Below are 23724 nucleotides of genomic sequence, written 5' to 3' on the forward strand. Positions count from 1 at the left end.
ATCCCATTACAGGATATGTTCCCAAAGGAATATAAATCACTTTATCCTAAAGGCACATGCATGCATATGTTCACTGCAGCACTATTATTCACTTTGTTATTATTCACAATAACAAAGACATACAATCAACCTAAATTCCCATCAATGGTACACTGGATAAAGAAAATATGGTACATATACACCATGGAATTCTATGCAGCCATAAAAAAGAATATCATGTTCTTTGCAGGAACATGAATGGAGCTGGAGGCATTATCCTTAGGAGATTAATGCAGGAACAGAAAACCAAATACTGCATGTTCTCACTTGGAAGTGGGAGTTAAATGATGAGAACACATGGACACAAAGAGCAGAACAACAAATACTGGGGCCTACCAGAGGGTGGAGAGTGGTACGAGGAAGAGGAGCAGAAAACTATTGAGTACTAGGCTTACTACCTGGGTGATAAAATAATCTGTACATCAAACCCCCATGACATGAGTTTACCTATACAACAAACTTTCACATGCACCCCTGAACCTAAAATAAAAGTTGTTTTAAAACTCCAGAAGGACCCAGTCATAGGGGGCTATGGTATAACCAAAAAAAAAATTGGTCTTTGTCACCAGTTTCTGGCACAGAGGTCCCAAAACCCTTGAAATTTCCTGAGTAATAAGGGTTATAGGAGCATCTTTTGTTTTAATGAGACAACTCTTGGTAGCCCATACATAGCTTCAGGATGGGGGCTGATCACCAGAAAGATTAAGCCTTGCCCAGCCTCCAGGAAGGAGAGAGGAACTGGAGATTGAGTTAATCAGCAATGGCCAAGTAATGTAGTTTTCTGAGTTCTGTGAGCCATTCTAGCAAATCATTAACATTGAGGAGGGAAGTGTGGAAATGCCCAATTTATAGCCAGTAAGTCAGAAATACGGGTGACTCAATGCTTGTGACTGACACCTGAAGCAAAGGAAATATTGTGGCACCAACTCCTTAAACCAGGAGAGCCTGATGCTAAATCTGGGAAGTCAGTGTCAGAACTGAATTGAATCGTCAGACATCTAGTTGGTGTTGGAGAACCAGAGAACTGAAGAAGTATTGTTGGATAAGACAATATATATTTGGTGTCTTCACAAAATAAACACATACACACACACACACAATTGTGAGTTTAATGTAGAAGAGTTCCACAAGGTCTTCACAGTGAATATCAGTATAAATGCTTTTTTTTAAGAGGTGAAATCATTTGCTGGGTTGTTTATTTTTTGGTACAACCAGGAAATAGTGTGGGATATTGAATTATGAGTGTTTTTGACTGTCTTGGGTATCAGCTTAACATTCCATAGATGGGGGTTAGTTTTTATATCCTACAATACAAAGCATATTAAATGGCAACATAGAGTCACAGTCCTGCATTTAATGTCTTGAACATTTTAAATTGCTTCTGCTCCCATGTTGTGTTTTAGCAGCACTGTTTCCTAAAGAAAACCACTTAGGCTAGGCTAAACTGTAATGTTTGGTAGGTGAAGTGTATTAAATGTATTTTTTACTCACAATATTTATGACCTATGATGGGTTTATCAGGACATAACCCTGTCATAAGTCAAGGAACATATAAGTATGTACGTATAAGTGAATGAATGACAGCAATGATACAAGGGATAGGAGGAAAGAATCAGAAATATTTTATTGCTATAAGGTACTTGCACTATGCATGAAGCAGTATCATGTTATTTAAAAGCAGATTTGGACTAATTGTAAATGTATATTGCAAACTCTAGGGCAACCACTTTTAAAAGTTTAAAAAGAACTATAATTGACATGCTAAAAAAAGGAGAAAAAATGAACCTTATAAAATGCTCAATTAAAACCACAAAGGCAAAAAAAAAGTGTGGAAGACAATACAGGAACAGAGAACACATGTGACAAGTAGAAAACAGTCACAAATATGGTAGATATTAATCCAACTATATCAATAATCACCTTAAACATCAATGGTCTGTTTACACCAATTTTTAAAAAGAGATTGTTAAAGTGGATCAAAAAACAAGACCCAGCTATATGTTGCCTACATGAAACTCTCTTTAAATATAAAGATACATACAGATTAAAAGTAAAGTAATAGAGAAAGAAATACCATGCTAACACTAATCAAAATAAAGTGGCAACAGCTATATTAATTTCAGACAGAGCAGACTTCAGAGCAAGGAAAGTTATCAGGGATTAAAAGGGACATTACATAATGAGAAGGGGGTCAATTCTCCAAGAAGGCTTAACAATCCTTAATTTGTTCACAAATTAGAACATCAACATATGTGGAGGAAAAAACTGATAGAACTGCTAGGAAAAATAGGTGAATCCACATTAAAGTTGAAGACTTTAACACCCCTCTATCAGAATGGGCAGATGCAGCAGGCAGAAAATCATTAAGTGTGTAGTTGAACTCAACAGCCCTATCAATCAACTGGATATAATTAACTTCTATAGACTAGTCCATCCAACAACAGTGGATTACACATTCTTGTCAAGCTCACATGGGACATTCACCAAGATAGATCCCATTCTGAGCCACAAAAAATATTTTAACAAATTTAAAAGAATAGAAATCATACAATGTCTTCTCTTAGACCACGATGGAATAATCTAGAAATCAATAACAAAAAGATAGCTGGAGAATCCCAAGTTACTTGAAGACTAAACAACACAATTCCAACTAATACATGGGTGACAGAAGATATCTCAAGAGAATTTTTAAAATATTTTAAATAAAGATACAACATATCAAAATTAGTGAGGTGCAGTGAAAACAGTGCTTAGAGGGAAATGTATAGCATTGAATGCATACATTAGAAAAGAAGAAAGACCTAAAATCCACAATCTAAGCTTCCAAGTTAGGAAACAAGAAAAAGAAGAGAAAATTAAATCCAAAGTAGAGGGAGGAAGGAAGGAAGGAAGGAAGGAAGGAAGGAAGGAAGGAAGGAAGGAAGGAAGGAAGGAAGGGAGGAATGGAGGGAGGGAGGGAGGGAGGGAGGGAGGGAGGCAGGGAGGATGTTTTACCTTTTCATAGTAGTCTCCTTTCTTTGAACTTGCCATCTAAAACAGCCTTTCATTCTCAGCTAACATCTTCCTCTCAATCGAAACATTTCCCTTCTAAGTTGACCTTTGAAATAGATCTGATGTATTATGTTTCTTAAACTGAACCAATGTGTAGAAATAAGGGGGTTGATGGGAATAAGGGATGAAAGAGAAGCAGAATCACGTGATTAGATTTTAAAAATACATATGTTCCCATACCACCTAAGGCATATAATACTGCAGGATGGGTATGTATATTGTATTAGTCAGGACAGGTTGAGCTATGCTGTTAAAATAAATAAACCTCAAATCTCAGTGTCTTAACACAATAAAGGCTTACTTCTTTCTCATATCATAGGCGTGGACTGTTCGCCAAGTTGTCCTCAAAGTACAGGCCTCTTTGCAGTCTCTGGCTCTACCACCTTCAACTCATAGTTTCAAGGAAGCCCTCAGCATCCATGTGGCATGAGAGGGCGAGAGGGTGAGAGGGAGAGTGCATAGAAGGCACTCCCTCTTAACTATCTGAAACCGGAAGTGAAAAATCATTCCAAATCATATTCTATTGAAAAGAACTATTCTTATGGCCCCACATAGATACAAGAAAGCTAAGAAACACTGTTTCACTGTGTGTCCAAGAAGAGGAAATATATATGGTGAAAACCTAGTCCATTTCTGCCATGGTCTGCCCTTCTGGTAACCAGAAGCTGTTTCACACTTCCATTCTTATATAGAACATTCTCACTCTCTCGTCAAGAGAAACATTCTAAAGTGACATCCAGTCATTGCATCCAGCTCAAGATCCAGCATCCAGTGATATGCTAGCTTTTCCATCAAATCTGGGGAAGATCCTCATGATCTCACAAATTAAAATCTAAAAACACAAATTATCTTCTCTCTCACCATACCCAATTTATAATGGTGGTGCAGGGACAGGATAACTGCAATAAAATCACCCATCGTGTACCTTCTGGTATGATGTTAAGAGAAGGGCTCTTCACCTCTGTGTTATTCTTCCTGAAACTCTATAATTCCAAGATAATCATGAGAAAACATCAGACAACTCCAAATTGAGGAACATTCTACTAAAATCTAACCATTAATCTTCAATAGTCAAAGTCATAAAAAACAATGGTACAGAAAAACAAATACTACACAATCTCACTTATATGTAAAATTGTTAAGAAGTCATCCACCAAAAAACTATTAGAACAGATAAACAAATTCAGTAAAGTTGCAGGATACAAAATCAACATACGGAAATCATTAGCATTTCTATACGCCAACAGCAAACAGCCTGAAAAGGAAATCAAGAAAATAACCCCATTTACTATAGCTACAAATAAAATTAAATACTTGGGAATTAACTTAACCAAAGAAGTGAAAGATCTCTACAACGAAACCTATAAAACATTGATGAAAAAAATTGAAGAGGACACAAAAAAAATGGAAGGATATTCCATGTTAATGGATTGGAAGAATCAATATCATTAAAATGTCCATACATACTACCCAAAGTAATCAACAGATTCAATACAATTCCTATCAAAATACCAATGGCATTCTTCACAGAAATAAAAAAAAAATCCTAAAATTTATATGAAACCACAAAAGACACAGAAGAGCCAAAGTCACCCTGAGCAAAACTAACAAAACTGGAGTAATCACATTACCTTACTTCACACTAGACTACAGAGCTATAGTAACCAAAACAGTAATGGTACTGGCATAAAAACAGACACACAGACCAATAGAACACAATAGAGAACGCAGAAACAAATTCATACATCTACAGTGAACTCATTTTCAACAAAGGTGTCAAGAACATACACTGGGAAAAGGACAGTCTCTTCAATAAATGTTGCCGGGAAAAGTGGATATCCATATGCAGCAGAATGAAACTAGACTCCTATCACTTGCTATTAAAAAAATAAAATAAAATCAGCCGGGCATGGTGGCTCAAGCCTGTAATCCTAGCACTTTGCAAGGCCAAGGTGGGTGGATCACTTGAGATCAGGAGTTCAAGACCAGCCTGGCCAACATGGCAAAACGCTGTCCACACTAAAAATACAAAAATTAGCTGGGCATGGTGGCATGCACCTATAATCCCAGCTATTTGAGAGGCTGAGGCACCTGAATCATTTGAACCTAGGAAGTGGAGGTTGCAGTAAGCCAAGAATGCACCACTGCACTCCAGCCTGGGTGACAGAACAAGACTGTCTCAAAACAAGCAAACAAAAAAATCAAATCAAAATGGATGAAAGACTTCAATCTAAGACTTCAAACTATGAAACCTCTATAAGAAAACATTAGAGAAACTCTCCAGGACATCGTAGTGGGCAAATAATTTCTTGAGTAATATCCTACAAGCACAGGCAATCAAAGCAAAAATGGACAAATGGGGTTATATCAAGTTAAAAAGCCTCTGCACAGAAAAGAAAATAATCAGTAGAGTGAAGAAACAATGCACAGGCGGAGAAAATATTTGCAAACTAACAATCCGACAAGGGATTAATAACCAGAATATATAAGGAGCTCAAACAACTCTATAAGAAAAAATCTAATAATCCAATTTAAAATGGGCAAAATATTTGAAGAAACATTTCTCAGAAGAATACATATAAATGGCAAACAAGTATATGAAAAGGTGCTCAGCATAACTGATCCTCAGAGAAATTCAGATCAAAACTGCAATGGGCCAGCACAGTGGTTCACATCTGTAATCCCAGACAAGACTGGGAGGCAAAGGCAGGTGGATTGCTTGAGCCCAGGAGTTTGTGAAAAACCTGGACAACATGGCAAGACCCCGTCTCTATTTTTTTAAAAAATTGCAATGAGATATCATCTCACCTCAGTTAAAATGGTTTTCATCCAAAAGTCAGGCAATAACAAATGCTAGCAAGAATGTGAAGAAAAGGGGATCCTTGTACATTGTTGATGGGAAAGTAAATTAGTACAACCACAATGGAGAACAGTTTGGAGGTTCCTCAAAAAGCTAAAAATAGAACTACCATATGATCCAGCAATTCCACTGTTAGGTATATACTCAAAAGAAAGGAAATCAGTATATCAAAGAGATATCTGCACTCCCATGTTTATTGTAGCACGATTCACAACAGTCAAGATTTGGAAACAACCTGTGTCCATCAATAGGTGAATGGAAGAAGAAAATGTGTTGCATATACACAATGGAGTACTATTCCGCCATAAAAAAGAATGAGATCCTGTCATTTGTGAATAGAGCTGTGGAGGTCATTATATTAAGTGAAATAAGCCATGCACAGAAAGACAAACTTTGTTTTCACTCATTTGTGGGAGCTAAAAATCAAAACAATTGAACTCATGGAGATTGAGAATAGAATGAAGGTTACCAGAGACTGGAAAAGGTAGTGGGGGAGGTTGGGGGATGGGGGGATGTTTAACAGGTACAAACAAAAATAGAAAGAATGAATAAGATCTAGTATTTGAAAGCACCACAAGGTTGCTATAGTCAATAATTTAATTGTACATTTAAAAATCACTAAAAGAGTATAATTGAGGCCAGTCATGGTGGCTCATGCCTGTAATCCCAGCACTTTGGGAGCCAACATGGTGAAAACCTGTCTCTACTAAAAAATAAAAAATTAGCTGGGCACGGTGTTGCACACCTGTAGTCTCAGCTACTTGGGAGGCTGAGGTGGAAGAATTGCCTGAACCCGGGAAGTGGAGGTTGCAGTGAGCCGAGATCATTCCATTGCACTCCACCCTGGGTGACAGAGTGAGATCCTGTCTCAAACAAAAAGAAAAAAAAGAGTATAATTGAATTATTTGTAACACAAAGAATAAATGCTGGAGGTGACAGATATCCCATTTACCCTAATAATTATTACACATTGTTTGCCTGCATCCAAATAGCTCACATATGCCATAAATATATACTATGTACCCATAAACATTAAATACTAAAAACAAAATTTTCAAGTGTTCCTTTGAAAATGAGGAGAACAACATTATAAGGTTACTTTTAAAACTGTATAAAAATAAATACCTACATACATACATTTTTAAAAAGTCAAACTCAGAAGCAGAAAGTCAATGGGGATTACTAGAGACTGAGAAGAAAGGGATTGGGGAGGTATCAGGATGAAAAAGTTCAAGAGCTCTATTACACAACATGGGGGACTACAGTTAATAGCAATGTGTTAGGCACTTGAAAATTGATGAGAGTAGATGTTCAGTGTTCTCATTACCAAAAAACAAAAGTATGTGAGGTAATGAATATGCTAATTAGCTTGATTTTGCCATTCCACAGTGTATAAAATTTTTGCCAATTTTTAAAACTCCATTTGAAAAAGGAAAGAATGAAAGATACACAACAATCACTAGTTCATAGCAGTTGTGGAATCATCTGGGTAGACACCTATCTCTGCCCTGTGGAAGAAATTCCATTAAGCCCCTGTTTTTTGCCCCCTGGGAAGAATTTCCTCATTTTCTCTAGTCCCTGGATCAGCACTGTGAGAGATTCTCTCTTTTCTATTCTCCTGGCTTGTTGTTGTTATTGTTGTTGCTATTGTTGTTTGAGACAGGGTCTCTCGCTGTGTCACCCAGGCTGGAGTGCAGTGGCATGAACACGGCTCCCTGCAGCCTCAACCTCCTGGGCTCAAGCAATCCTCCCACCTCAGACTCCTGATAGCTGGGACCACAGGTGTGCACCACTACGCCCAGCTAACCTATTCTCCTTGTTTCAAGCATCTGAAGGTGTATGTCCTGTCCTTCTTGGGGACTGGACAAATTTTATAGCCTACTTCTCCTGCATGTGGACCTTTAGGAGCCTAAGGGTTCGTTTAAGTCTGAAACGCTCCAAGATTGGATTATGTGGCAATATAATTTTCTCAAAGAATGATATGTTTGCAATAAACCCATGCCTTACGTTAATAAGAACCCAAAGTTCTTTCTCAAACCTGCCTTTCTTTTTACTCCTTCACTCATCATATCTCTTTCTCTGAAATAAATAAAAACAGGTTACCTTGAAGATATCAACCTTGAATGGAATAGCTATGTTCTTAACCTAATCTTTGCCTGTCGTTCAAGGACTTTGCCTCTGTCTTATTACCTACATTTGGGAGCCTAGAAGCCGTTGGATTTTTCCAACCTTTCAATGCCCCAAATTTTTACAGTCTCTTTATTTCTTTTATTTCTGGTTACACCCGCCAATTATCTCCTAACCTCATCCCTTTCTTGTAATACTTTCCCAAAATGCAGCAAATAGAAACCAACATGCAATAACATTTTGGCTCTTTATAATCATTTCCCCCAGAGCTGCTGGCTCAGTAGGGCCATGGCCTACCTCCCAAGATATTACAGGAAGCAGTTTTACCAAATACTTTACCAGTCTATACCATAGATCTGCCATCTCTGCAGCCCCGAATACCAGTTTCCTCACTCTCCAGTATTCAACTATTAAGCCAATAACACATATTTTAGGGTTACAGCAGCAATCCCCTTTAAATTCCTTACATAGACTAGGCTATGCTCTAGTGAAAATTAAAACTCCCAAATTTCAGTATCTTAAAAGTGTATTTATTGTTCATGCCACAACCCAGTGAGGGGTAAGCAGCTCTCCTCTAAGTGATGGTTCAGTCTTCTTCCATGCTGGGCATCCCCCATTTTCAACAATGTGCCATCCAGTTGACAACAAGGGGAGAAAAAAATGAGAAGGCACATTCATAACTGTCTCAACTGGAAATGTCATCTCATTTCTGCTCACATTCTATTGGCAAGAATTAGTCATACTGCCACACATTGACTCAAAGTCCCTGGAAAATGTAGTTTACCTGTGGATCTAGGAAGAGGAAATGAATTTGGAAAGATTGATTCGGTCAGCCATACATAAAACCCCACTGTAACATAGTAAGTTGGGTACAAAATATTCCATAACATAAAATTTAGTATTACCTTGATCCAAGATTAAATAAATTAACACAGTGAGTCTATCCAGCAATCCAATTCCAGGGCTCCAGTGGCACAATCTGAATCTGTCTAGGTCCCCGTTGCAGTTTGGCACTCCAGGTGGTGGTTTTCTTCTCCAAGTTAAATATGATGGGGATTTTGAGAACAAGGTGGGGTGGAGGACAGAAGTCAATTTTGTTATATCCAAATTCATGTTATCATAGACTATACCGTCATGGACTTTTGCTATATTTTGAAAATGTGACCCACTTGATTCTAATGTAACATCACTTTCGTTATTGAGAGTCATGACTGAGGAGATTACATTTTCAAAGGTACAGACCTATTTTGGTATATATTCCAGTTACTATCACTACATAACAAACCGCCACAAAATTTCATAGCTTTAAAAATGTAGCATTTATTTTGCTCAGAAATCTAAAATTTGGAAAAAGCAATGCCCCATGAGCACAGTGTTCAGTTGGACCCACAGCATGTAAGAGCTTGTGGAGACTCATACGAAGTACAAGGTAAGTGTGTTACATCTATGACCGAGTAACAGGAGTGCTGAAACCCCCAAACTTTACATTCAAACCAAATCCTGCAATAAATGCAGAAAGAAGACAAAGACATTCTAAGAAACACAAACAATCAAGAGATCCTACCATTTCCTTTCTTATTCATGTTACTTTCCTATATTAGCTAACCACTTATGCTGGAAACGAATAACATAGAAAGAAAGGGAAAGATAGGAAAGGCCATAATTTCTTTTCCTTTCTGTAACTTCCTTACTTGTCAATAAATAACAAGTAGAAACTATGGGTAGAACGTGCACCTATTAAGAAATGAAATAAGGCCAGGTGCGGTGGTCATGCCTGTAATCCCAGTACTTAGGGAGGCCAAGGTGGGCGGATCACGAGGTCAGGAGTTCGAAACCAGCCTGACCAACATGGTGAAACTCCATCTCTACTAAAAATACAAAAATTAGCCAGGCACAGTGGTGCGCACCTGTTACCCCAGCTACTCAGGAGCCTGAGGCAGGAGAATCGCTTGAACCCAGGAGGCAAAGGTTGCAGTGAGCCGCAGCCTGGGCGACAGAGCAAGACTCTGTCTCAAAAAAAGAAGCAAGATGGCCGAATAGGAAGAGCTCCAGTCTACAACTCCCAGCATGAGTGACGCAGAAGACGGGTGATTTCTGCATTTCCAACTGAGGGACCGGGTTCATCTCACTGGGGCTTGTCGGACAGTGGGTGCAGGACAGTGGGTGCAGCCCACCAAGTGTAAGCCGAAGCAGGGCGAGGCATCGCCTCTCCCAGGAAGTGCAAAGGGTCAGAGAATTCCCTTTCCTAGCCAAGGGAAGCTGTGACAGATGGCACCTGGAAAATCGAATCATTCCCACCCTAATACTGCACTTTTCCAACAGTCTTAGGAAACGGCACACCAGGAGATTATATCCCGTGCCTGGCTCGAAGGGTCCCACGCCCACAGAGCCTCCCTCTTTGCTAGCACAGCAGTCTGAGATTGAACTACAAGGTGGCAGCGAGGCTGGGGGAGGGGCGCCTGCCATTGCTGAGGCTTGAGTAGGTAAACAAAGCAGCTGGGAAGCTCGAGCTAGGTGGAGCCCACTGCAGCTCAAGGAGGCCTGCCTGCCTCTGTAGACTCCACCTCTCGGGGCAGGGCATAGCCAAACAAAAGGCAGCAGAAACCTCTGCAGACTTAAATATCCCTGTCTGACAGCTTTGAAGAGAGTAGTCATTCTCGCAGCACGGAGTTTGAGATCTGAGAATGGACAGACTGCCTCCTCAAGTGAGTCCCTGACCCCTGAGTAGCCTAACTGGGAGGCACCCCCCAGTAGGGGCAGACTGACACCTCACACAGCCAGGTGCCCCTCTGAGACGAAGCTTCTAGAGGAACGATCAGGCAGCAACATTTGCTGTTCAGCAATATTCACTGTTCTGCAGCCTCTGCTGCTGATACCCAGGCAAACAGGTCTGGAGTGGACCTCCAGCAAACTCCAACAGACCTGCAGCTGAGGGTCCTGACTGTTAGAAGGAAAACTAACAAACAGAAAGGACATCCACACCAAAACCCCATCTGTACGTCACCATTATCAAATACCAAAGCTAGATAAAACCAAAAAGATGGGGAAAAAACAGAGCAAAAAAACTGAAAATTATAAAAATCAGAGCACCTCTCCCCCTCCAAAGGAACACAGCTCCTCGCCAGCAATGGAACAAAGCTGGACAGAGAATGGCTTTGACAAGTTGAGAGAAGAAGGCTTCAGATGATCAAACTTCTCCGAGCTAAAGGAGGAAGTATGAACCCAACGCAAAGAAGCTAACAACCTTGAAAAAAGATTAGATGAATGGCTAACCAGAATAACCAGGGTAGAGAAGTCCTTAAATGACCTGATGGAGCTGAAAACCATGGCACGAGAACTACGTGATGAATGCACAAGCTTCGGTAGCCAATTCGATCAAGTGGAAGAAAGGGTATCAGTGACTGAAGATCAAATGAATGAAACGAGCAAGAAGAGAAGTTTACAGAAAAAAGAGTAAAAAGAAATGAACAAAGCCTCCAACAAATATGGGACTATGTGAAAAGACCACATCTACGTCTGATTGGTGTACCTGAAAGTGACAGGGAGAATGGAACCAAGTTGGAAAACACTCTGCAGGATATTATCCAGGAGAACTTCCCCAACCTAGCAAGGCAGGCCAACATTCCAATTCAGAAAATACAGAGAACACCACAAAGATAATCCTTGAGAAGAGCAACTCCAAGACACATAATTGTCAGATTCACCAAAGTTGAAATGAAGGAAAAAATGTTAAGGGCAGCCAGAGAGAAAGGTCGGGTTACCCACAAAGGGAAGCCCATCAGACTAACAGCTGATCTCTCGGCAGAAACTCTACAAGCCAGAAGAGAGTGGGGGCCAATATTCAACATTCTTAAAGAAAAGAATTTTCAACCCAGAATTTCATATCCAGCCAAACTAAGCTTCATAAGTGAAGGAGAAATAAAATCCTTTACAGACAAGCAAATGCTGACAGATTTTGTCACCACCAGGCCTGCCCTACTGAAGGAAGCACTAAACATGGAAAGGAACAGCCAGTACCACCCATTGCAAAAACATGCCAATTGTAAAGACCATCGATGCTAGGAAGAAACTGCATCAACTAACGAGCAAAATAACCAGCTAACATCATAATGACAGGATCAAATTCACATATAACAATATTAACCTTAAATGTAAATGGGCTAAATGCTCCAATCAAAAGACACAGACTGGCAAATTGGATAAAGAGTCAAGACCCATTGGTGTGCTTCATTCAGGAGACCCATCTCATGTGCAGAGACACACATAGGCTCAAAATAAAGGGATGGAGGAAGATCTACCAAGAAAATGGAGAACAAAAAAAGGCAGAGGTTGCAATCCTAGTCTCTGATAAAACAGACTTTAAACCAACAAAGATCAAAAGAGACAAAGAAGGCCATTACATAATGGTAAAGGGATCAATTCAACAAGAAGAGCTAACTATCCTAAATATACATGTACCTGTACAGGAGCACCCAGATACATAAAGCAAGTCCTTGTAGACCTACAAAGAGACTTAGACTCCCACACAATAATAATGGGAGACTTTAAAACCCCACTGTCAACATCAGACAGTTCAACGAGACAGAAAGTCAACAAGGATATCCAGGAATTGAACTCAGCTCTGCACCAGGCGGACCTAATAGACATCTACAGAACTCTCCATCCCAAATCAAAAGAATATACATTCTTCTCAGCACCACATCGCACTTATTCCAAAATTGACCTCATAGTTGGAAGTAAAGCACTCCTCAGCAAATGTAAAAGAACAGAAATTATAACAAACTGTCTCTCAGGCCACGGTGCAATCAAACTAGAACTCAGGATTAAGAAACTCACTCAAAACCACTCAACTACATGGAAACTGAGCAACCTGCTCCTGAATGACTACTGGGTATATAACGAAATGAAGGCAGAAATAAAGATGTTCTTTAAAACCAGTGAGAACAAAGACACAACATACCAGAATCTCTGGGACACATTTAAAGCAGTGTGTAGAGGGAAATTTAGAGCACTAAATGCCCACAAGAGAAAGCACGAAATATTTAAATTGACACCTTAACATCACAATTAAAAGAACTAGAGAAGCAAGAGCAAACACATTCAAAAGCTAGCAGAAGGTGAGAAATAACTAAGAGCAGAGCAGAACTGAAGGAGATAGAGACACAAAAATCCCTTCAAAAAATCAATGAATCCAGGAGCTGGTTTTCGGAAAAGATCAACAAAATTGATAGACCGCTAGCAAGACTAATAAAGAAGAAAAGAGAGAAGAACCAAATAGACGCAATAAGAAATGATAAAGGGGACATCACCACCGATCCCACAGAAATACAAACTACCATAAGAGAATACTATAAACACCTCTACATAAATAAACTAGAAAATCTAAAAGAAATGGATAAATTCTTGGACACATACACCCTCCCAAGACTAAACCAGGAAGAAGTTGAATCCCTGAATAGACCAATAACAGGCTCTGAAATTGAGGCAATAATTAATAGCTTACCAACCAAAAAAAGTCCAGGACCAGATGGATTCACAGCCGAATTCTACTAGAGGTAAAAGGAGGAGCTGCTACCATTCCTTCTGAAACTATTCCAATCAATAGAAAAAAGAGGGAATCCTCCCTAACTCATTTTATGAGGCCAGCATCAAAAAAGACTGACAGAGACACAACAAAAAGAAAGAGAATTTTAGATGAATATCCCTGATGAATATCGATGCAAAAATCATCAATAAAATACTGGCAAACCGAATCCAGCAGCACATCAAAAAGCTTATCCACCATGATCAAGTGGGCTTCATCCTTGGGATGCAAGGCTGGTTCAACATACTCAAATCAATAAACATAGTCCAGCATATAAACAGAACCAAAGACAAAAACCACATGATTATCTCAATAAATGCAGAGAAGGCCTTCAACAAAATTCAACAGCCCTTCATGCTAAAAACTCTCAATAAATTCGGTATTGACGGGACATATCTCAAAATAATAAGAGCTATATATGACAAACCGACAGCCAATATCATACTGAATGGGCAAAAACTGGAAGCATTCCCTTTGAAAACTGGCACAAGACAGGGATGCCCTCTCTCACCACTCCTATTCAACATAGAGTTGGAAGTTCTGCCCAGGGCAATCAGTCAGGAGAAAGAAATAAACGGTATTCAGTTAAGAAAAGAGGAAGTCAAATTGTCCCTCTTTGCAGATTACATGATTGTATATTTAGAAAACCCCATCGTCTCAACCCAAAATCTCCTTAAGCTGATAAGCAACTTCAGCAAAGTCTCAGGATACAAAATCAATGTGCAAAAATCACAAGCATTCTTATACACCAATAACAGACAAACAGAGAGCCAAATCATGAGTGAACTCCCATTCACAATTGCTTCCAAGAGAATAAAATACCTAGGAATCCAACTTACAAAGGATGTGAAGGACCTCTTCAAGGAGAATTACAAACCACTGCTCAACGAAACAAAAGAGGATACAAACAAATGGAAGAACATTCCATGCTCATGGATAGGAAGAATCAATATGGTGAAAATGGCCATACTGCCCAAGGTAATGTATAGATTCAATGCTATCCCTATCAAGCTACCAATGACTTTCTTCACAGAATTGGAAAAAACCACTTTAAAGTTCATATGGAACCAGAAAAGAGCCCACATTACCAAGACAAGCCTAAGCAAAAGGAACAAAGCTGGAGGCATCACACTACCTGACTTCAAACTACACTACAAGGCTATAGTAACCAAAACAGCATGGTACTGGTAGCAAAACAGAGATATAGACCAATGGAGCAGAACAGAGCCCTCAGAAATAATACCACACATCTACAACCATCTGATCTTTGACAAACCTGACAAAAACAATAAATGGGGAAAGGATTCCCTATTTAATAAATGGTGTTGGGAAAACTGGCTAGCCATATGTAGAAAGCTGAAATTGGATCCCTTCCTTACACTTTATACAAAAATTAATTCAAGATGGACTAAAGACTTAAATGTCAGACCTAAAACAATAAAAACCCTAGAAGAAAACCTAGGGAATACCATTCAGGACATAGGCATGGGCAAGGACTTTCTGTCTAAAACACCAAAAGCAATGGCAACAGAAGCCAAAATTGACAAATGGGATATAATTAAACTAAAGAGCTTCTACACAGCAAAAGAAATTACTATTGGAGTGAACAGGCAACCTATGGAATGGAAGAAAATCTGACAAAGGGTTAATATCCAGAATCTACTAAGAACTCAAACAAATTTACAAGAAAAAAACAACCCCATCAAAAAGTAGGCAAAGGATATGAACAGACACTTCTCAAAAGAAGACATTTATGCAGCCAAAAGACACATGAAAAAATGTTCATCATCACTGGCCATCAGAGGAATGCAAATCAAAACCACAATGAGATACCATCTCACACCAGTTAGAATGGCAATCATTAAAAAGTCAGGAAACAACAGGTGCTGGAGAGGATGTGGAGAAATAGGAACACTTTTACACTGTTGGTGGGACTGTAAACTAGTTCAACCATTGTGGAAGACAGTGTGGCGATTCCTCAAGGATCTAGAACTAGAAATACCATTTGACCCAGCAATCCCATTACTGGGTATATACCCAAAGGATTATAAATCATGCTGTTATAAAGACACATGCACACGTATGTTCACTGCAGCACTATTCACAATAGCAAAGACTTGGAACCAACCCAAATGTCCATCAATGATAGACTGGATTAAGAAAATGTGGCACATATACACCATGGAATACTATGCAGCCATAAAAAAGGATGAGTTCATGTCCTTTGTAGGGACATGGATGAAGCTGGAAACCATCATTCTCAGCAAACTATCGCAAGGACAAAAAACCAAACACCGCATGTTCTCACTCATAGGTGGGAAATGAACAATGAGAACACTTGGACACAGGAATGGGAACATCACACACTGGGGCCTGTCATGGGGTAGGCGGAGCGGGGAGGGATAGCATTAGGAGATATACCTAGCGTAAATGACGAGTTAATGGGTGCACCACACCAACATGGCACATGTATACATAAGTAACAAACCTGCACGTTGTGCACATGTACCCTAGAACTTAAAGTATAATTTTAAAAAAAGAAAGAAAGAAAGAAAAGAAATGAAATAAGGCCGGGCACGGTGGCTCATGCCTGTAATCCCAGCTCTTTGGGAGGCCAAGGAGGGCAGATCACTTAAGGTCAGGAGTTTGAGACCAGCCTGGACAACATGGTGAAACTCCATCTCCATAAAAATACAAAAATTAGCAAGGTGTGGTTGCGTGCACCTGTAATCTTAGCTGCTCAGGAGGCTGAGGCTGGAGAATCACTTGAACCCAGGAGGTGGAGGCTACAGTGAGCCAAGGCGAGATTGTGCCACTGCACTCCAGCCTGGGCAACAGAGCCAGATTCCATCTCAAAAATAAAATTTCAAAAAAAGGAAATGAAATAAGACAACTGAGTTTGTTTTGTGCATCATTTCCACTGTTCTAGTAAGAATAAAATGTGTATCCATGTAGGAGCCACAAAAATAGGAACTATAGTTTTGGTGATTCCACATATTAGTTAAATGCTCTTATGTTTGCATGTAAAACAGGCATTATACAATATCAAAATGAATAATAAAATACATGCTAATAATTTAAATTTTCAATTTTTCTTTACCTATAAAGATATTAAATAGCAAATTAAAACCATCATAAGAGGTCAACAAAAAGACTGAAAGAAAGTAAAAAGACAGTTATATTTTTGTCCTTTAGTGATACTTTTTCCTACTTTTTGAATAACAATTCTGCATTTTCATTTTGAACTGTGTCCCACAACTTCCACAGCTTGCCCTTACTGGTAATTGCCTATCTAACAACTGTCTCTCACTTTCTTCTTCCTAAGAGAACCTCATTTTTATTCACTTTCCTTTTCCAAGGGACCATCTGCTTCAGGTGTGGTGATCTTTAGCCTCAGTTCCAGCCCCAGGCGATGTTTTCTCACTGGTGAAACCCAATTATCTGGTCCCTTCCCTACTGCTACCTAACCAGCATGACTTATCTCCCTTTCCCATTGCACTTTTATCCCAATAATATTTATCACCACTTTAGTCATTTGGTTCTTTTTTATCTCTTCCCATAGAATATAAGCTGTATGATTTTTACCTGTTTTGCCATCTGAGGTTTCCTAGCTCTAGTGACACATAATAGACATTCAATAAATATATGAAGAGTGAACAAATGAATTAATTCTTCTTGCCAATGCTTGGATTAGGACAAAAAGACATGAAGTGTGACATGGCTTCTGTGAAAGGTTTTAGTTACTGGTTTTAAAAAATGCAAGAAAAGTGACATTCACTCTGTTTCCACTGGATATTGTCATATCTCACTGAGGCCTGGATCTTCAGTAGCCTCTTACAACCACAAAGGGAGCAAACAGAAAAAAAAAGAGAGAGAGAGATCAAGTCAACATGCTGAAAATAGCAGAGTGGAAGATTAAAACAAAACTGGCCCTTGATAACATCTTTGAGTCACTGAATTAACTGACCCCGGAGCCACTCTATCTTGGGACTTCTTGTTATGTGAGGTAATACATTTCTTTACTGTTTCCAACTACCTTGAATACTTACAGTTGAAAACATTCTGATACAACTATCCCTCTCCCTGTTGCATTTGAAAAGATTCTTCAGGCCAGGCGCGGTGCCTCAGGCCTGTAATCCCAGCACTTTGGGAGGCAGAAGCAGGCGGATCACCGGAGGTGGAGACCAGCCTGGCCAATATGGCGAAACCCCGTCTCTACTAAAAATAGAAAAAAAAAAGTATCCAGGCATGGTGGTGGGCGCCTATAATCCCAGCTACTTGGGAGGCTGAGGCAGGAGAATTGGTTGAACCTGGGAGGCGGAGGTGGCAGTTAGCCAAGATGGCGCCACTGTACTCCAACCTGGGCGGCAGAGTGAGACTCCATCTCAATTTAAAAAAAAAAAAAAAAAAAAAAAAAGGCCAGATGCAGTGGCTCACACCTGTAATCCCAGCACTTTGGGAGGCCGAGGCGGGTGGATCACCTGAGGTCAGGAGTTTGAGACCAGCCTGGCCAACATGGTGAAACCCTGTCTCTACTAAAAATACAAAAATTAGCTGGGCACAGTGGCGCATGCCTGTAGCCTCAGCTGAGGCGGGAGAATCGCTTGAACCTGGGAGGCAAAGGTTGCGGTAAGCCAAGATCATGCTGACAGCGTGCTGGCAGTCCTCACAGCCCTCGCTCGCTCTGGGCGCCTCCTCTGCCTGGGCTTCCACTTTGGCGACATTTGAGGAGACCTTCAGCCCACCGCTGCACTGTGGGAGCCCCTTTCTGTGCTGGCCAAGGCCGGAGCCGGTTCCCTCAGCTTGCAGGGAGGTGTGGAGGGAGAGGCGCGAGCGGGAACTGGGGCTGCCTGCAGCGCTTGCGGGCCAGCTGGAGTTCCGGGTGGGCGTGGGCTTGGCGGGCCCCGCGCTCGGAGCAGCCTGCCGGCCCTGCCGGCCTTAGCACCCGGGCCAGCGGCTGCGGAGGGTGTACTGGGTCCCCCAGCTGTGCCAGCCCACCGGCGCTGCGCTCGATTTCTCGCCAGGCCTTAGCTGCCTTCCCGCGGGGCAGGGCTCGGGACCTGCTCCATGGCGCCCCCTGCTCCACGGTGCCCAGTCCCATCGACCACCCAAGGGCTGAGGAGTGCGGGCGCACAGCGCCAGACTGGCAGGCAGCTCCACCTGCAGCCCCGGGCGGGATCCACTGGGTGAAGCCAGCTGGGCTCCTGAGTCTGGTGGGGACGTGGAGAACATTTATGTCTAGCTCAGGGATTGTAAATGCACCAATGGGCACTCTGTATCTAGCTCAAGGTTTGTAAACACACCAATCAGCACCCTGTGTCTAGCTCAGGGTTTGTGAATGCACCAACCCACACTCTGTATCTAGCTACTCTGGTGGGGCCTTGGAGAACCTTTGTGTTGACACTCTGTATCTAGCTAATCTAGTGGGGACGTGGAGAACCTTTCTGTCTAGCTCAGGGATTGTAAAGGCACCAATCAGCGCCCTGTCAAAACAGACCACTGGGCTCTACCAATCAGCAGGAGGTGGGTGGGGCCAGATAAGAGAATAAAAGCAGGCTGCCCCAGCCAGAAGTGGCAACCAGCTCGGGTCTGCTTCCACGTTGTGGAAGCTTTGTTCTTTCACTCTTTGCAATAAATCTTGCTACTGCTCACTCTTTGGGTCCACACTGCTTTTATGAGCTGTAACACTCACTGCGAAGGTCTGCAGCTTCACTCCTGAAGCCAGCGAGACCACGAGCCCACCGCGAGGAACAGCTCCAGACGCACCGCCTTAAGAGCTGTAACACTCACTGCCAAGGTCTGCAGTTTCACTCCTGAGCCAGCGAGACCACGAACCCACGAGAAGGAAGAAACTCCGAACACACCTGAACATCAGAAGGAACAAACTCCAGACGCGCCACCTTAAGAGCTGTAACACTCACTGCGAGGGTCCGCAGCTTCATTCTTGAAGTCAGTGAGACCAAGAACCCATCAATTCTGGACACAATGCCTGGGAGACAGAGCACTGTCTCAAAAAAAAAAAAAAAAAAAAAAAAAAAAAAAGACAAACCAAGTCAGTTGTGGACTGCCACAACTGGTAGCTCCTTTAACCCTAATGGTAGCTCCTTTAACCCATCAAAGAATGAGGCTTCTTCTACCTGTCTTTGTTCAGCCACCCCTGGCTTGTTGTTCTTTGCAACATGCCCACAAGATTACTGCTGTATTTACAAACATCACATCCACAGTGCAATCAAGAGGGAGTAGGAAGAGTGAAGGGCAAACTTATATGTTAGTTGAGCCTATCCCTTGTTTTTAGGAAAATAACAGATTTTCTAGGTCTTGCACTCAGCAAACTTCTGTCTATATTTTTTCATTGCCAGACCTGGGACACATGGCCATCACTAGCTTCAAGGATGTCTACAGAGGTCAGCATTTTAAGCTACTATTGCCATCCCAGACACGGAATGGTTTCTCCCTCAGAGCCTCCAGAAGGAACCAAACTTGTTGGCACCTGGGTTTCAGACTTCTAGACTATGAAAAAGTAGATTTCTATTGTTTTAAGCCACTCATTTTGTAGTACTTGTCATGGCAGCCCTAGGATACAACCCAGAAGAAAAAGAGAGTGGGAGAAAGTACCAGGGCCATCTAGCTGGGGCTTGCTAGAGATGACAGCTAGGCCTTTGGGCAAGGTTGAATTATCTCGAAGGGAAAAATAAAAACTTTTTTTAAAGAAATGGGTTATTGATACACTGACCTTTGAGATCTTCCACACTGGCTTTCTTTTCTGTGTGAGCAAAGACTCAAAAGCACAAAAGAGGTTGGCATAGTGGAAGGGAGAGGAATGCGTGTGTGTGTGTGTGTGTGCATGCGCCTGTGTGTATGCATGTGCCTGTGTGTGCATGTGCCTGTGTGTGTGCGTGTGTGTGCATGTGCCTGTGTGTGCGCGTGTGTGTGCATGTGCCTGTGTGTGTGCATGTGCCTGTGTGTGTGTGCGTGTGTGTGCATGTGCCTGTGTGTGCGTGTGTGCATGTGCCTGTGTGTGTGTGCGTGTATGTGTGCATGTGCCTGTGTGCGTGTGTGTGCATGTGCCTGTGTGTGTGTACGTGCCTGTGTGTGTGCACGCACGTGTGTGTGCATGTGCCAGTGTGTGTGCGCACGCGCGTGTGTGTGTGTATGTTTGGGACAGGTTTTTAGTAGGGTTGGTGCTACAGCATACACTTTTGAAGAGCAGGGAGGAACAGAAGAAATGAGACCAGAAAAGCAGGTCAAGGTGGGATCGGGGTTGCACCAGCCTGAGAGTGAGGAGTCAGCAGAGCCAGCAGAGATGCAGTCAGGGAGTGGAGATGCAGGGGGCAGCCATGACCCCTGTTGCTTGACTGAAAAAGCACTATTTGTTTAAGTCTGAAAAATTTCAAAGTAGAATACAAAGTAGTTCGGAGCTCTTTTTAAAAATTCAATGTAATATTTAAATACATAACACTTTCAAAAAATAATAAATAATAAATTCTCCTTCTTCTACCCCATTTCCCATCTATCCACTTGTACCATACAGTCCTCACCGTTGCAGGTAAGCCACTACTATTAATTTCCTGTGTATCCTTCTGCATAAAAGAGCAAATGCAAATATACAATCTTATTTTTCTCCCATTTTATACAAATAGAAAAATGTTATTTATGCACTCTTTCTTTGCTCAATTAACAATGTAACTTAGTGACATTTCCATATCTATGTAGAGTCTTGACATTCTTTTTTGTAGCTGCCAAAATACATTCCATTTGATAATATATTTCCAATCCTTTGTTCCTATGCCATTTCACATGGGTACAAGTAAACTTGTATTAAGTGTTTATTAGAAGTGAAATTTTCAGGAGCTCTTTATATATTTAGGAAAATTAATCCTTTCTGATATGACTTGCAACAATTTTTCCCAAGTATCATTTGTCTCTAAGCCTTACTTGTCGTGGAATTTGCTTGCATTTTCAAAAATAATTGAATTTATCAATCTTTTATGGCTTCTAGGTTTCTAGTCATAATAAAAAGTCATTCTCCACTCCAAAGTTACAAAGGACTTTCCTCAACTTTTTATTTTAGCATTTACTGGCTTTATTTTTTTTTAGCATCTAAATCTTTTGCCTGTGGATATCCAGTTTCCCCAACACCATTAGTTGAAGAACTATTATTTCCCCCAGTTGAATTGTCTTGGCCTCTTTTTCAAAGGTCAATTGAGCATAAAAGTTAGGGTCAATTCTACCCAGCCATCCCATTACTGGGCATCTACCCAAAGGATTATAAATCATGCTGTTATAAAGACACATGCACACGTATGTTCACTGCAGCACTATTCACAATAGCAAAGACTTAGAACCAACCCAAATGTCCATCAATGATAGACAGGATTAAGAAAATGTGGCACATATACACCATGCAATACTATGCAGCCATAAAAAAGGATGAGTTCATGTCCTTTATGGGGACATAGATGAAGCTAGAAACCATCATTCTCAGCAAACTATCGCAAGGACAAAAAACCAAACACCACATGTTCTCACTCATAGGTGGGAATTGAACAATGAGAACACTTGGACACAGGGTGGGGAACATCACACACTGGGGCCTGCCAGGGGGTGGGTGGAGGGGGGAGGGATAGCATTAGGAGATATACCTAATGTAAATGACGAGTTAATGGGTGCAGCACACCAACATGGCAGATGTATACATATGTAACAAACCTGCACGTTGTGCACATGTACCCTAGAACTTAAAATAATAATAATAAAAAAATACGTGTTAACTTCACACCACAAAGCCTGGTATATATAGGGGTGGGATAGGGCATATTATTGTCTTTAAGTTTTCTAGTGTCAAATAAAAAAAAATGCCATTACTAATAAAATTCTCAGTGTCACATTCATTGCTAACAAAATTCTCAGTGTCACATAAGTTAAAAAAAAAGTTATGGTCAATTCTAAATTCTATTTCATTGATCTCAATGTCTATTTTTATAGCAGTACTGTCTTAATTACTACAGCTTTGTAGTAAGTTTTGAAATTGCAAGTGTGAGTACTCCAATTGTATCATTCTTCTCAAGATTGTTTTGGCTATTCTACGTTCCTTGCATTTCCACATGAATTTAAAGATCAGCTTGTCAATTTCTGGGATTTTGATAGAGGTTGCACTGAATCCATAGATCAACTTAGGGAGTACTGATATTTTAATATATTGTCTTCCAATACATGAACATAGAATGTCTTTCCATTTATTCAGATCTTTCATTTCTTTCAACAAAGTTTTGTAGTTTTTAGTAAACAAGTCTTACAATTCTTGTTAAAATTATTCCTAAGTATTTTATCCTTTTTGATGCTATATAAAAGAAATTGTTCTTGAATTTCATTTTCAGATTGTTTGTTGCTAATGTATTGAAATGCAATTGATTTATTATATTGATCTTGCATCCTGCAATGTTGCTGAAATTATTTATTGGTCCTAATAGGTCTTTAGTGGATTATTTTAGATTTTCTATAGACATGATCATGACATTTGCAATGTTATTACTTTTGTAAAGTAAAACTAGAGATAGTTTTACTTCTTCCTTTCCAGTCCAAATGTCTTTTCTTTTCCTTTTTTTTTTTTTTTTGCCTAATTAACCTTGGCTAGAACCTCTACTACAAAGTTAAATAGAAGTCATGAGAGTGGACATCTTTGTTTTGTTCCTGATCTTAGAGGGAAAGTAAGCACTCTCACTATTAAATGTAGCATTAACTGTAGGTCTTTCATAGATGCCCTTTGACAAATTGGAAGAATTTCCCTTCTATCTGTAGTATTTTTATCTTGAGAGGTACTGGATTTTATTGAATGCTCTTTCTGCATCTATTGAAATGATCATGTGATTTTGTCCTTTTTTTCTATTAATGTGATATATGACATTAATTGATTTTCAAACGTTAAGCCAATCTTGCTTTCGTGGGATAAATCCCTGTTGATTATGGTGTAGAATTCTCTTTTGTTTGCTAGTATTTTGTTGAGGATTATGTTTGCATCTACATTCCTAATGGATACTGACCTGTAGTTTTCTTCTCTTGTGAT

The 23724-nt window shown here is 40.4% G+C and overlaps 1 long non-coding RNA gene across 1 annotated transcript, besides 1 other annotated feature; it reads right to left on the minus strand.

Annotated features, from left to right (window-relative positions):
- Positions 1–8584: 8584 nt before the first annotated feature.
- On the minus strand, positions 8585–18744 carry LINC01946 (long intergenic non-protein coding RNA 1946). Its single transcript, NR_146994.1, has 5 exons — positions 18722–18744; positions 17711–17879; positions 8983–9107; positions 8862–8869; positions 8585–8679 (listed from the first exon to the last, which is right to left on the minus strand). It is a non-coding gene; the product is annotated as a long intergenic non-protein coding RNA 1946 (long non-coding RNA).
- Positions 18568–19075: an enhancer, noted in NCBI's record as "H3K27ac-H3K4me1 hESC enhancer chr2:32028873-32029380 (GRCh37/hg19 assembly coordinates)". NCBI's record gives its function as "activates a minimal SCP1, AML or CMV promoter by ChIP-STARR-seq in primed H9 embryonic stem cells {active_cell/tissue: H9 hESC(primed)}" and the evidence as "EXISTENCE:reporter gene assay evidence [ECO:0000049][PMID:30033119]".

The sequence above is a fragment of the Homo sapiens genome, chromosome 2 (genome assembly GCF_000001405.40).
Source record: "Homo sapiens chromosome 2, GRCh38.p14 Primary Assembly".
NCBI classification, from domain to species: domain Eukaryota; kingdom Metazoa; phylum Chordata; class Mammalia; order Primates; family Hominidae; genus Homo; species Homo sapiens.